The sequence below is a fragment of the Homo sapiens genome, chromosome 8, assembly GCF_000001405.40.
Source record: "Homo sapiens chromosome 8, GRCh38.p14 Primary Assembly".
NCBI classification, from domain to species: domain Eukaryota; kingdom Metazoa; phylum Chordata; class Mammalia; order Primates; family Hominidae; genus Homo; species Homo sapiens.
The window spans coordinates 35,990,913-36,006,063 of record NC_000008.11 but is presented as its reverse complement, the minus strand read 5'-3'; the positions used below and the strand labels follow the sequence as shown (position 1 = coordinate 36,006,063).

The following is a 15,151-nucleotide window of genomic DNA, read 5'->3' as shown; positions in this document are numbered from 1 at the left end:
TCCTAAATATATTTGTATTCCTACAAATATTCTTACACTTTACTCCAAAATGCATTCACTTTACTTGGAATCAGTGTGATTCTTTCTTTGTTGATTTTAAAACTGATTAAGACTAGATGAGAGCAATACTCAACTCTATTAGTCCATTTTCATACTGCTCTGAAGATGTACCTGAGACTGGGTAATTTATAAAGAAAAAGAGGTTTAATAGACTCACAGTTCCACATGGCTAGGGAGGCTTCATAGTCATGGCAGACAGTGAAAGAGGAGCAAAGGCATGTCTTACATGGTGGCAGGCAAGAGAGAATGTGCAGGGGAACTGCCCTTTATAAAACCATCAGATCTCATGAGATTTAGTCACTATCACAAGAAAAGCCCAGGAAAAACTGACCCCTATGATTCAATTACCTCCCACTGGGTCCCTCCCATGACACATGGGGATTATGGGGGCTACAATTCAAGATGAGATTCGGTTAGGAACACAGCCAAACTGTATCAACAACATATGGCTAATCATGCTCCTGCACTGAATGTAGACCCTTTTGTGTATTCTTAATGCCTTGTGAATTATGAGGTTTTCCAATCTGGTTGTTGAAACAGGCAACAGGCACTACTTGTAGCTCCTTGTGAGTGCCAGGAACTGTTATTTCTTATCATTTTATGTAGGTCTTTCCCCAGACTTGAGTAGTTAACTGTAAAACCTGTTTTTATTAGTACTATACCAATTAGTACTATACTAAATACTTAGGAATCCTCTTCAGCTCTCTGGGATTTTGTGTCTTTGTAATTTTCTCCTGCCCGGTACTCTGTTCTTTGGACTCTAGTTTCTTTGGTTGTGCCAGACTTGCAGCTCTGTCTTTGCAATTCAGGAATTCTCCCAGGAACTATCTGGATTTTCCCTCTAGTACCTTGGCCTGGAAACTTTTCCAGTTGGGAATTGTTGTTTCATATATTTTCATTCATTTTTTTGTTGTTTAAGGCATGAGAGTAATCCTGGTTCTTATCACTTGTTCTTGACTAGAAACATAAATTTTGGGCATGTGGCTGATTTAGTAATATTCATTTATTTTATTCATCATAGCCAAAAAACTGAGAGCAGACAGGGGAGCTGAGGGTTTCATTTACTGTGTAGAGTAACTGAAATTTTTGTTTATGGCTTGACTTTCCCAGAGTTCTGACTTCCTTACGCAGCATAAATAGGCCCTGAGACCAGTGAATAGTCTCTTACATACCAAGCCAATAATTTAGGAAATGTAGGCATTCTGCCTCAGTCAATCTTCAAGTAACTCTATCATACTTACTTAGCATATTGATTGAGTCAGGCGTCACTGTGAAAATGTCATTAATTCTTAAGACATTTTATTTTCTATTTTCTTATACAGAAAGAATACATTTGGAATCAGCCTAGTTTTATGGAAAGGGAACTAGGTCTTGGAGAGCACTTACTAATCTTTTTCCTGCTCATTTTCAGACACAGAAGCTTGTCCTGGCAAGAATCCTATCTGTAAGCTCTACAGAACTAGCATTTCCTCAATTTCCATCTGCCAAGATGCTAACAGAGAACACATCAAGTAGGTGGAACACACAAGGGACTGACCTTGACTTAAAGCAAGTATGGCAATCTAAGATCTCTGCCATGACATGACTATAGTTTATGAACCATTTACAATGGTAGTAATATCACATTATTCATTGTCTGTATACCATGTGCCCCAGATATTAAAGCCAATTGATGCATACTGTCTTTCACTCAATCCTCATTTTGGTCATTCATTACTAATGGCCTTTTTCTTATTTTGTCCCCAGAAGGAGTCAATAGTCACAACCATTTTAGAAGATTTACATGTAATTATTTGGGTGGCTCTTGTGGAGTTAAAATGTTATTCTTTGCAGCTAAAGAAAAGCTATTATTTATGAGAAATGTGTAAGTTGAAAGTAGACAATTTGTCTAATTTTACGAGGCATTATTTTGTTAAGAAAATTAATCCTGGGCCTGCTGAACATAGTAAGGCATTCACAGAACCTACACAGAATCTTATCAGAACTTGATGTTAGCTGTTTTCCTGGGAATTGGTTATGGTCAATATGACTCTATACATTCAGGAAATATTTATTAAGTGATTTCTATATTCATAGTACCTTTTCATATATTCCTTTAACATTCAAAAGAATTCTGGTCCTATTTTCCTCAATTTACAGATGAAGAAAGTGAAGTATAGAAAGTGAAGCAAGTACCACAATGGCATATAATTGGAGTGGCCCTATCAGGGTTTGATTCTCAAAGTTCAATCTCACTTCAAATTTCTTGGTCTCTCCAGTGCAACATGCTGCCTCCAAGGATAATAGTCTCCACTCAAATCAGATCTTTCACTCTTTTCCATATATCATTCGGAATAGGCATGAAAATTTCATCCAACACCTATGTTTTATACCGAATAATTAAAATTTTTCTTACTATGATTGGTTAAAGCTCATAAATCATCTTGATAGTGATTTTTAAAAAAATTGCTTGACTGTTTATTGTGCCTAGTGAAAGTTATGAAAAAAGACTGTGATGATTTTAGTTTTAACTTATTATCTTAAAACATGCTGTTCAAGAAACCACTAGAATTGCAGTATTGATGTGCATAGAAAGCCTAGCAATAGAAAAAGCAAAGCCCTGAGGGATTTCATTTGTATAATATCCATTTTGGTGCTGAGGAGAAGGATACATTCAGCAATCTCACAAGTCAATTAAGTGTCAAATCTGGGTAAAGTCAGAAAAGAGAAATTTTTAATATGACATCATAAGAGGATTTCATAAATTAATAGAGTATTATGTGTTTTCTGTTTTTTTGTTTGTTTGTTTGTTTTTGAGATGGAGTTTCACTCTTGTTGCCCAGGCTGGAGTGCAATGGTACAATCTTGGCTCACTGAAACCTCTGCCTCCCGGATTCAAGCAATTCTCCTGCCTCAGCCTCCCGAGTAGCTGGGATTACAGGCATGCACCACCATGCCTGGCTAATTTTTTATTTTTAGTACAGACAGGGTTTCTCCATGTTGGTCAGGCTGGTCTCAAACTCCTGACCTCAGGTGATCTGCCTGCCTCAGCCTCCCAAAGTGCTGGGATTACAGGCATGAGCCACTGCTCTCGGCCTTACGTGTTTTTTTAAAGTCTGTTCTCTTTCTGCAAGCAGACCGGACAATGTAGATGAAAAGAAAATCTAAAAATCCAGAGTTAATTCTGACTCTGCTTTTATGCAGATATATGACTTTGGACAAGTCACCTAATCTGGTTGAATTTCTTCATATTGATGAGGAGAATAGGAATCAGAGGTTAAAAAAGTATCTTCCAACATTATTATTCTGGGCTTTTATGGTAAAATAGAAATCTCTTGGTCTATAAGCTTAAGAAATCCAACTTGATGACATCACATTTTAAAATAAGTGCCAAAGTAAGTCATAAGTCTTTTAAGTAGATAACTTATTTGGTTGTAATATGAGGAAACTTTTCCATTGTCTTGCAATATGGAAGTTTTTATTTTTCTTTTTAGAGACAGGTTCTTCTTCTGTTGTCCAGGCTGAAGTGCAGTGGCATGATCATAGCTCACTGCAGCCTTGAACTCCTGGGATTAAGCAATCCTCCTGTCTCAGCCTCCCAAGTAGCTGTGACTACAGGCAGGTGCCACTACACCGAAATAATTTTTTTATTTTAATTTTTGTATAGATGGGGTCTTGCTATGTTGCCCAGGCTGGTCTCAAACTCCGGGCTTCAAGCCATCCTCCCACCTTCACCTCCCAAAGTGCTGAGATTTCAGGTTCATGAGACACCATACCTGACCTAGAAGTTTCTTTTCTTCACTTCTTGTGGTCAGGTTATCTATTTGAGAGTGTCTAAGCATCATAATCAGAAGATGCTTTGGTCAGTAATAACAAAACACAGAAACCAAGCAGGTCGCTAACCATGTACTATTCAACTGCTGAGAAAAAATCATTCTAGATTTATTCTACTCTAAGTCACTGTTGTATTCTGATACATTCCTACATCATTTCTTATCTTTCTTACCCCTTCAACTACACTGATGTTCTCAATTGCCATGGAAAAAAAGGATTCACATAAGTTGTATAATTTTTATTCTTAGACAAAATACACACTGTATAAACACCAGACATACATATGGCAGACACATGGTGAAATTCTCTGTCTTCAAAAATCTCTCTGCCAAACATTGACTAATCTCTCTAATCTCTGTTCTCACTCATTCAATTAGCAGAAAGCTAGAAAAACAAGCAAACAAGCAAAGAGAGGGGGGTTGTCTGAAAAAAAAAAAAACAGCAAGGAAACAAATTCTAAAAATAGTGTATTATTACTAAAAGCTAAAGTTTAAAAGTATAGCATCCATTTGATCTCTTCCAAGAACAGGCAAATCACTTTTAATCTTTGCTCATAAATATCCTTCTTTTGCTCTAATTAAGCCTGTATTGAGTAGCTACTACAAAGAAGATACTATACTGTTTGTTACAGGAAACAAACCACGGTTTGTATTCCAAAGTAACTTACCATGTAACAGAAAAGGCAGACATTTACATGTATTATAAGTAAAAACAGCATATGATGCAGGGAAATGACAAAAGGTACATCTAGTGTATGATTATCTTATGCACATGATAAAAGAAGTTGAGTCAGGTTCATGCAATATTTATTCAATAAATAAGTGGTTTGAAAATATAGCAATACAATAGAATTACCTGAAGAGCTCTTTAAAAATATCAGTGTCTGGGCCTAATAATTAAAGTTCTGATTCAGTTAGACTGGAGTGAGGCACTGGTATTTTATAAAGACTTTACTGAGCATGGTAACAGGCAGGCAGGGTTGAGGACAAAGGCATTAGGGGTGAGGACCAATGTATTAAACATTCTGTTGGTCCCCACCAAAAATCAGATGCTCCTTATTCCCAACACCTGGCAAAAATAAATAAGTTCTGATCTCGGCTTTAAAGGTAATCAGTCTAATGGAGATTCTTGTTCAGTTATTTGAATTTGTAACCAACTGAATGATTGGACCATTATGATCTTGAAGAAAGAATTCTGAGGGAGTAACACAAAGCTCTGTCTTCTACAATGACTTTATTTAAAAAGTTCCCATTCATTACATCTGTGGATCATCTGTGGCTGACAGAAAAATTGCGTATTTGGAACAATTTGTATCAAAATTCAAGTGTATTTGAATGTAAGAGAAAAAATGATAAATCTAAAAAAGATTAAACAGGTCTAAGATCAACAGGGTAATAGTCTACCTTTGGGTCCTAATAGGCAACTGGGTAATTGTAGGACTGATAAGTTGTATCTTAGCAAATGCTAGAGAATCAATGGTGAATTTATTTTCAGTCAAATAAGGGCTAAAAAAATTGAACTGAAAAAAACCGTAACAACATAGTCTGAATAGAACTATAAAATCTAAAATGAACAATGACATAATCTCACTCTCTCTGTGTTGTCAGTTTGGACTTGGATCAAAGCCATCTGTTCATGCCCTCACTCTTAAAAGAGTTTTAGATGACTTATAAAAAACAAATGTAAATTAGCCAAGGCTGTGAAAAGTTTTGCACACAATTTATGTGAAGAATATTGAAGGAACTGTGGTAGAAATGTTAGGACTCTTTTGGCTGACTGTAAGAAAATGCTTAACTAAAAGTGGCTTGAAGAATTGTAATGGACTGAATGTTTCCCCCCAAAATTTATATGTTGAAACTCTAACCCTGAATGTGATGGCATTTGGGATTGGGGTCTTTGACAGGTAATTAGGTCTAATGAGATCATAAAGGTAGGGTCTCCATGTTGGGATTAATGTCTTTTTGAGAAGAGAAAGAGACTACAGCCCTATGTCTCTTTGCCTGGTATACACAGTTATTAATAGAGGGCTACAAACCAGGAAAAACATCCTTGCCAGAACATGGCATGATGACATCCTGATCTTGGCCTCCCAGCCTCCAGAACTGTGAAAAAATAAATAATAATAAATTAATTAGGCAACCTCATCTATGGTATTTTCTTATAGCCACACAAACTTGTTCTATAAGAACTTGGGTTCTTATAGAACCCAAATTTGTTCTATTATTCTCTATATTATCCTCAACTTTTTGCCTTTCATACTGTGGCTTGGTCACTCATGGATGCAAGATGGCTGCCCTATTATTACTTCACACACCCGTGACCAAATCAGGATAGTAACTTTCTCTTTGTGTGCGTTTATTATTTTTTTAATGGTGAGAAAAATGGCATAATACCCAATATGTGCCATTGTCTGATCTGACCACATACTTATCTTAGAATAATCTGTGATGCAGGGAATAAAGCTACCTGACCAATTTGGAACAATCATGATACATTTTCAGGGACTGTGAAATTCTTGGATGTAATCCCATATCTATGATGCTATAGAGAGGACGAACTTCTCAATAGCAGTCTTCCAACATTTTGATGAAATCCAATGTGAAATATGAGTGTATTCAAATATGAGTGGGCTTGCCCACTAAAAAATGGGCAAAGGACATGAACAGACACTTCTCAATAGAAGACATATGTATGAGCAAAAAGCATATGAAAAAAACACTTACCATCACTCATCATTAGGAAAACACTAATCAAAACCACAATGAGATACCATCTCACACTAGTCAGAATGGCTTTTATTTATTTATTTGAATGAGTAAATATATTTACAATGTATATAACAGACAAATGTACAATCAAGAATAGCATATACATGTGTGTGTGCACATAGATTGTTATTTATTAAAAAGTCAAAAAATAACAGATGCTGACAAGGTTGTGGAGAAAAGGGAACACTTACACACTGCTGGTGGGAATGCAAATTAGTTCAGCCATTGTGGAAAGCAGTCTGGAGATTTCTCAAAGAATTTAAATAAGAACTATCAACCCAGCAATTCTATTACTGGGTATATACCCAAAGAAAACTTGAGAAATGCAAATTAAAACCCCAATAAGGTCCTTAATCACATCTGCAAAGTCCTCATTGCCATGTAAAGTGCCATGTTCACAGGTTCTGAAGATTAGAACCTGGACCTTTTTAGAGGGTTATTATTCAGCCTCTCAAGATACTTCGAGTGCTTTTCTTTGCATCTGATTTTTTTTTTTTTTAGAATAGCCTAGCCTAAAAATGCTGAAGTTTCCCCTAGAAAATACATTAGAACTACCCTTAGTATTTCACATTGATATTAAGGAACAGAGTAACACAGATAAGATTTTCTATTTATAGTAATGAAAGATGCGCTGTTCCTTACTGGTTACAAAAATAAACATGACACTAAAGAAACTGTGTTTCTGGAATAGTAATATAACATATAACCATGTAAATGTATTTCCTTTTTTTGGACCACACTAGCCAAAAGATTGGGTACAAGGAGAAATGTGTTCCAAGAGTAGTAGCAGGGAAGAAATATTTCAGATAGCTATGCTCTTAGGTTGAACTATATGAAATAAAAACTCCACTGATTGTCCCATACTCTGCAAGGACACCAAGTTAATAAGTATCTACACCGAAAAAAAAAAAAACCCACCTTCATAAGAACCAAAAATCAGGTGAGTTCCTGGTTTTAACTTCTTATCCCTGAAGGAAGTACTGAAGAAACAGAAAAAAACAGCTGCCTTAAATCGCCAGTGCCACTCTCCCTGACCCACGGCAGTAGCAATCTGGTGCAGAGAGCATCTCTGGGCACAGAGGAAGGGAGATCACAGCAATTGTGAGACACCGAACTCAGTGCTGTCCTTTTAGAGCAGAAAGGAAAACTGGACCAAACTCAGCTGACACCCACCCAAAGAGAGAGCTTGGAAACCAGCCCTAGCCAGAGGGGAAGTGCTGATCCCAGAGGTCCAAACTTGAGTGCCTGAAAACCTCTCCACCAAGGGCTACAGCCCTCTATGTCTCCAAATAAACTTGAAAGGCAGTCTAGGCCATAAATACTGCAACTCTTATGTGAGCCCTCATGCTAAACTAGGTCCAGAGACAGTGGGCTGGAGGGCATGTGACATATTGCGATACTAACTGGGGCAGCCAAAAGAGTGCTGGCATCACTCCTCCCCTAACCCCAGGCTGCACAGCTCACAGCTCCAAAAGAGACTCCTTCCATTTGCTGGAGGAAAGAAGAGGGAAGAGTGGGGAGGACTTCATCTTGGATCTAGAATACCAGTTCAGCCACAGCACAATAGAGCACCAATCACCGTCATGAGGCCCCTTTTTCTGGCCCTAGCTTCCAGAAGACATTTTTTTTTTTTTTTTTTTTTGAGACGGAGTCTTACTCTGTCGCCAGGCTGGAGAGCAGTGGCATGACTTCGGCTCACTTCAACCTCCACCTCCTGGGTTCAAGCGATTCTCCTGCCTCAGCCTCCTGAGTATCTGGGACTATAGGCGCAAGCCACCACGCCCACCTAATTTTTGTATTTTTAGTAGAGATGGGGTTTCACCATGTTGGCCAGGATGTTCTCAATCTCTTGACCTCATGATCCACCCACCTTAGCCTCCCAAAGTGCTGGGATTACAGGCATGAGCCACTGCTCCCAGTCTCCAGACGACATTTCTAGACACACCTTGGGTCAGAAAAGAACCTGCTGTCTTGAAAGAAAGAACTCAGTACTGGCAGCATTCATCACTTGTGAACTTAACAGCCCTTGGGCCCTGAATAACAAGCAGCAATACCCAGGTACTGCATCGAGGGACTTGGGCAAGCCTCTGAGGCTTGCTGGTTTCAGGTTGAGACTCAGCACATTACCAGCTATGGTAGCTACAGGGCAAAACTTCCTCTGCCTGAGAAAAGCAGAAAGAAAAGTAAAGGAGACTTTGGCTTGCACCTTAGGTACCAGCATGGCCATGGTGGGTAGAGTACCAAGTGGACTCTTGGGGTCCCGAGTTCTAAGACATGACTCCTAGATGGTATTTCTGGACCTACTGTGGGCCAGTGAGGAGCCCATTGCCCCAAAAATTGAGTCCCAGGCTAGGTAGCATTCATGGCAAGCTGACTTAAGAGGCCTTGAGACTTAAGGGAACATCAGTGGTAGTCCGGCAGTATCATTGTTGGCTAGGGTGGTGGCAGCTACACTGCGAGGCTTCTCTGCCTTTGGAAAGAGGAGGGAAGAGTGCAAAGAACTGCAACTTGTGGTTTTAGAACACCAGGTAGATGTCAAAGATTTTTGACTCTAGTCCCTGATTCCTGGATGGCACTTCTGGACCCACCAGGGCCTGGGGGTACTTGTCATCATGAAGAGAAGGATGGCCTGGCTGGCTTTGCCACCTGCTGATTGTACAGTCCCAGGGCGTTGAGTGAACATAGACAGTAGCCATGGAGTGGCTACAGCAGACCTTGGGCAAGACCCAGTGCTGTGCTGGTTTCAGGCCTGACCGAGCACAGGCATAGTCATGGTGACCACAGGTTTAATTCATGTCACTTCACCCCCAGGCTTAGGTGGCTCAGAACAGAGATAGAGAGATTCTGTATGTTTGGCAGAAAGTAAGGGAGAGAACAAGTGTCTCTGCCTAGCAACCCAGAGAATTCTCCGAGATCTTGTCCAAAACCATCAAGGTGGTACCTCTATAAATTTTTAAGAACCCCAGTTTTACTGGGCTTGGAGTGCACACTAAAGCAGATACAGCTTAGATCACAACACCCAAGTTTTTTCAAATTTCTGGAAAGCCTTTCCAAGAAGAATGGCTACAAATAAGCCCAGACAGTGAAGACTACAATTAATACCTAGCTCTTCAATGTCCAGACATTAAAGAACATCTATAGCATCAACACCATCCAGGAAAACATGATCTAAAGAAATGAACTAAATAGGCACAAGGGACAAAATCTGGAGAAAAAGAGATATGTGACCTGTCAGATAATTCAAAATAGCTGTGTTGAGGAAACTCAAAGAAATTCAAGGTAATACAGAGAAAAAATTCAGAATTCTATCAGCTAAATTTAACAAAGATATTGAAATAATTAAAAAGCAGAAATTCTGGAGCTTAAAAATGCAATACACATTGGCTAGCTAGTTATCCCAATGCCATTTATTAAATAGGGAATCCTTACCCATTTCTTGTTTTTGTCAGGTTTGTCAAAGATCAGATGGTTGTAGATGTGTGGCATTATTTCTGAGGCCTCTGTTTGTTCCATTGATCTATATATCTGTTTTGGTACTATGCTATTTTGGTTACTGTAGTCTTGTAGTATAGTTTCAAGTCAGGTAGCATGATGCCTCCAGCTTTATTCTTTTTGCTTAGGCTTATCTTGGCTATACGGGCTCTTTTTTGGTTCCATATGAAATTTAAAATAGTTTTTTCTAATTCTGTGAAGAAAGTCAGTGGTAGCTTGATGGAGATAGCATTGAATCTGTAACCATTTTCACAATATTGATTCTTCCTATCCATGAGCATGGAATGTTTTTCCATTTGTTTGTGTCCCCTCTTATTTCCTTAAGCAGTGGTTAGTCATTCTCCTTGAAGAGGTCCTTCATATCCCTTGTAAGTGGTATTCCTAAGTATTTTATTCTCTTTGTAGCAATTGTGAAAGGGGGTTCACTAATGATTTGGCTCTCTTTTTGTCTATTATTGGTGTATAGGAATGCTTGTGATTTTCACACATTGATTTTGTATCCTGAGACTTTCCTGTAGTTGATTATCAGCTTAAGGAGATTTTGGGCTGAGACAATGGGGTTTTCTAAATATATAATCATGTCATCTGCAAACAGAGACAATTTGACTTCCTCTCTTCCTATTTGAATACGCTTTATTTCTTTCTCTTGCCTAATTGCCCTGTCCAGAACGTCCAATATTATGTTGAATAGGAGTGGTGAGAGAGGGCATCCTTGCCTTGTGCCAGTTTTCAAAGGGAATGTGTCCAGATTTTACCCATTCATTATGATATTGTCTGTGGGTTTGTCATAAACAGCTCTTATTATTTTCAGATGCATTCCATCAATACCTAGTTCATTGAGAGTTTTTAGCATAAAGTGGTGTTGAATTTCATTGAAGGCCTTTTCTGGATCTATTGAGATAATCGTGGTTTTGGTCATTGGTTCTGTTTATGTGATGGATTCCGTTTATTGATTTGCATATGTTGAACCAGCCTTGCATCCCAGGGATGAAGCCAACTTGATTGTGGTGGATGAGCTTTTTGATATGCTGCTGGATTCTGTTTGCCAGTATTTTATTGAGGATTTTCACATCAATGTTCATCAGGGATATTGGCCTGAAATTTTATTTATTTTTTTTGTAGTATCTCTGGCAGGTTTTGGTATCAGGATGATGCTGGCTTCATAAAAGTGAGTAGAGAGGAATCCCTCTATTTCTATTATTTGGAATAGTTTCTGAAGAAATGGTACCAGCTCCTCTTTGTACCTCTGGTAGAATTCGGCTGGGCTTACCACAAGATGGATTACAGAATTAAACACAAGGCCTGAAACCATGAAAATCCTAGAAGAAAACGTAGGCAATACCATTCAGGACACAGGCACAGGCAAAGACTTCATTACTAAAACACCAAAAGCAATGGCAACAAAAGTTAAAATTGACAAATGGTATCTAATTGAACTAAAGAGCTTTTACACAGCAAAATAAACCATCATCCAAGTGAACAGGCAACCTACAGAATGGGAGAAAAATTTTGCGACCTACCCATCTGACAAAGGGCTAACATCCAGAATCTACAAGGTACTTAAACAAATTTACAAGAAAAAAAAACATCAAAAAGTGATTGAAGGATATGAACAGACATTTCTCAAAAAAAGATATTTATGCGGCCAAAAAGCATATGAAAAAAAGCTCATCATCACTGGTCATTAGAGAAATGCAAATCAAAACCACAGTGAGATACCATCTCATGCCAGTTAGAATGGCAATCATTAAAAAGTCAGGAAACAACAGATGCTGGAGAGGATGTGGAGAAATAGGAAGGCTTTTATACTGTTGGTGAAAATGCAAATTAGTTCAACCATTGTGGAAGACAGTACTGCAATTCCTCAAGGATCTAGAACCGGAAATACCATTTGACCCAGCAATCCCATTACTGGATATATACCAAAAGGATTATAAATCATTCTACTATACAGACACATGCACACATATGTTTATTGCAGCACTGTTCACAATAGCAAAGAGTTAAAACAAACCCAAATGCCCATCAATGATAGACTGGATAAAGGAAGCGTAGCACATACACACCATGGAATACTGTGCAACCATAAAAAGATGAGTTCATGTCCTTTGCAGGGACATGGATGAAACTGGAAACCATCACTCTCAGCAAACTAACACAAAAACAGAAAACCAAACACTGCATGTTTTCACTCATAAGTGGGAGTTGAACAATGATAACATAGGATACAGGGAGGGGAACATCACACAATGGGGCCTGTCAGTGGGTGGAAGGCTAAGGGAGGGATAGCATTAGGAGAAATACCTAATGTAGATGATGTGTTGATGGGTGCAGCAAACCACCATGGCATGTGTCTATCTATGTAACAAACCTGCATATTCTGCACATGTATCCCAGAACTTAAAGTATAATTTTAAAACAATGCAACACACATACCGAAGAATGTATCAGAGTCCTTTAATAGCAGAATGGATCAAGCAGAAGAAAGAATTAGTGAGTTTGAAGACATGCTATTTGAAATAGTCAGAGGAGACAAAAGAAAAAAGAGTAAAAAACAAGGAAGCACGCTACAGGATCTAGAAAATAGCCTCAAAAGGGCAAATCTAAGACTTAATGGACTTAGAGAGGGAGATAGGGTAGAAAGTTTACTCAAAGGGATAATAACAGAGAACTTCACAAATCTAGAGAAAGATACTAATATCCAAGTACGAGAAGGTTATAGAACACCAAGCAGATTTAACCCAAAGACTACCTCATGAAATTGAATAATCGAACTCCCAAAGGTCAAGAATAAAGAAAGGACCATGAAAGCAGCAAAATAAACAAATAACATTCAATGAGGTTCCAATACATCTGGCAACAGACTTTTCAGTGGAAACCTTATAGGCCAGGAGAGAATGGCATGACATATTTAAAGTGCTGAAAACAACAACAACAACAACAACAACAAACTTTTACACTAGAATAGTATATCTGACAAAAACATCCATCAAACATGAAAGAGAAATAAAGATTTTTCCCAGACAAACAAAGCTGAGGGATTTCATCAATACTACACCCATGCTACAAGAAATACTAAAGAGAGTGCTTCAATCAGAAAGAAAAGGATATTAATGAGCAATAAATAATTACCTGAAGGTAGAAAATGCACTGGTAACAGTAAGTACACAGTAAAACAAAAGTTATTATTATGATATCATAACTGTAGGGTGTAAACTACTCTTACACTAAGAAAAAAGACTAAATAACGAAACAGTCAAAAATACCTACCACTATTCATGACATAGTACAATAAGATACAAATTAAAACAACAAAAAATTTAAAAGTGGGGAAATAAAGTTGAGTTTTTATTGGTTTTCTTTTTGCTTGTTTGTTTGTTTATGAAAATAGTATTAGGTTGTGACCAGGTTAAAATGATAGGTTTTAACGTAGTATTTCCAAGCCTCATGGTAACCTCAAACCAAAAAGCATACAATAAACACACAAAAAATAAAAAGCAGGAAACTAAATGATATCACCAGAGAAAACCGTCTTCACTAGAGAAAGACAGAAACAAAGAAGGATGAGAAGGCCACAAAATAACCAGAAAACAAATGACAAAATGGCAGAAGTAAGTCCTTACTTATCAATAATAACATTGAATGTAAATGCACTAAACTCTTCACTCAAAATTCATAGACTGGATGTATGGATGAAAAAACAAGACCCATTTGTGTGTTACCTACAAGAATCACACTTTACCTATAAAGAACACATAGACTTGAAATAAAGGGATGGAAAAAGATACTCCATGCCAATGGAAACCAAACAAGAGCAAGAATACTATACTTATGTCAGACAAAATCGATTTCAAGACAAAAACTATAAGAAGAAACAAAAAGGTAACTCTATAATGATAAAGAGATTAATTGAATAAGAGAATATAGCAATTTTAAATATATATGTACCCAACACTGGAGCATCCAGATATATAAAGAAAATATTATTAGAGCTAAAGAAACATATAGGCCCCAATACAATCATAGTTGGTGACTTTAACACCCCACTTTCAGCATTGGACAGATCTTCCTGACAGAAGATCAATAAAGAAACATCAGACTTATCTACACTATTGACCAAATGATCTAATAGATATTTACAGAACATCTCATCCAAGAGCTGTGGAATACACCTTCTTTTCCTCAGCGCATGGCTCATTCTCAAGTACATACCTTATGTTAGGTCACAAAAAAAGTCTTAAAACATTCAAAAAAATTAAAATAATATTAAGCATCTTCTCTGACCACAATGGGATAAAACTAGAAATTAATAACGAGAAATTTTGGAAACTATACAAGCACATATAAATTAAACAATATGTTCCTGAATGACCAGTGGTCCAATGAAGAAATTAAGAAAGAAATTGAAAATTTTTTTGAAACAAATTATATTGGAAACAATATACCAAAACCTATGGGATACAGCAGAAGAAGTGCCCAGAGGGAAGTAATTCAAATGAACAATCTAAGGATGCATCTTAAAGTGGAAAGTCAAGAGCAAACCAAACCCCAAATTAGTGGAAGAAAACAAATAATAAAGAGCAGAGCAAAAATGAGTGAAATTGAAATGAAAAAACAATACAAAAAATCAATGAAACAAAAAGTTGTTTTTTGAAAAGTTAAACAAAATTGACAACCTTTAGCCAGATTAAGAAAAAAGAGAAGATTCAAATAAAATCAGAAATGAAAAAGAAGATATTAAAAATGATATTGCAGAAATTCAAAAAAGCACAAGTGGCTACTCTGAGAGACTATATGCCAATAAACTGGAAAATCTAGAAGAAATGGACAAATTCCTAGATACATACAACCTACTATGACTGAACCTGAAAGAAATCCAAAACCTGAACAGATCAATAACAAGTAACAAGATCAAAGCTGTAATAAAAAGTCTCCCAGTAAAGAAAAGCCTGGGACCTGATGGCTTCACTGCTGAATTCTACCGAATATTTAAAGAAGAATCAATATCAATCCTACTC

General features: G+C 37.4%; 1 long non-coding RNA gene across 1 annotated transcript in view; it reads right to left on the bottom strand.

The window, feature by feature from the left end:
• Positions 1 to 6,647: 6,647 nt before the first annotated feature.
• The window catches only part of LOC124902062 (uncharacterized), a 28,795-nt gene continuing 20,291 nt past the window's right edge, over positions 6,648 to 15,151 (bottom strand). The window contains exon 2 of the long non-coding RNA XR_007061176.1: positions 6,648 to 11,452. This is a non-coding gene — a long non-coding RNA (uncharacterized LOC124902062). The remainder of the gene's footprint in view (positions 11,453 to 15,151) is intronic.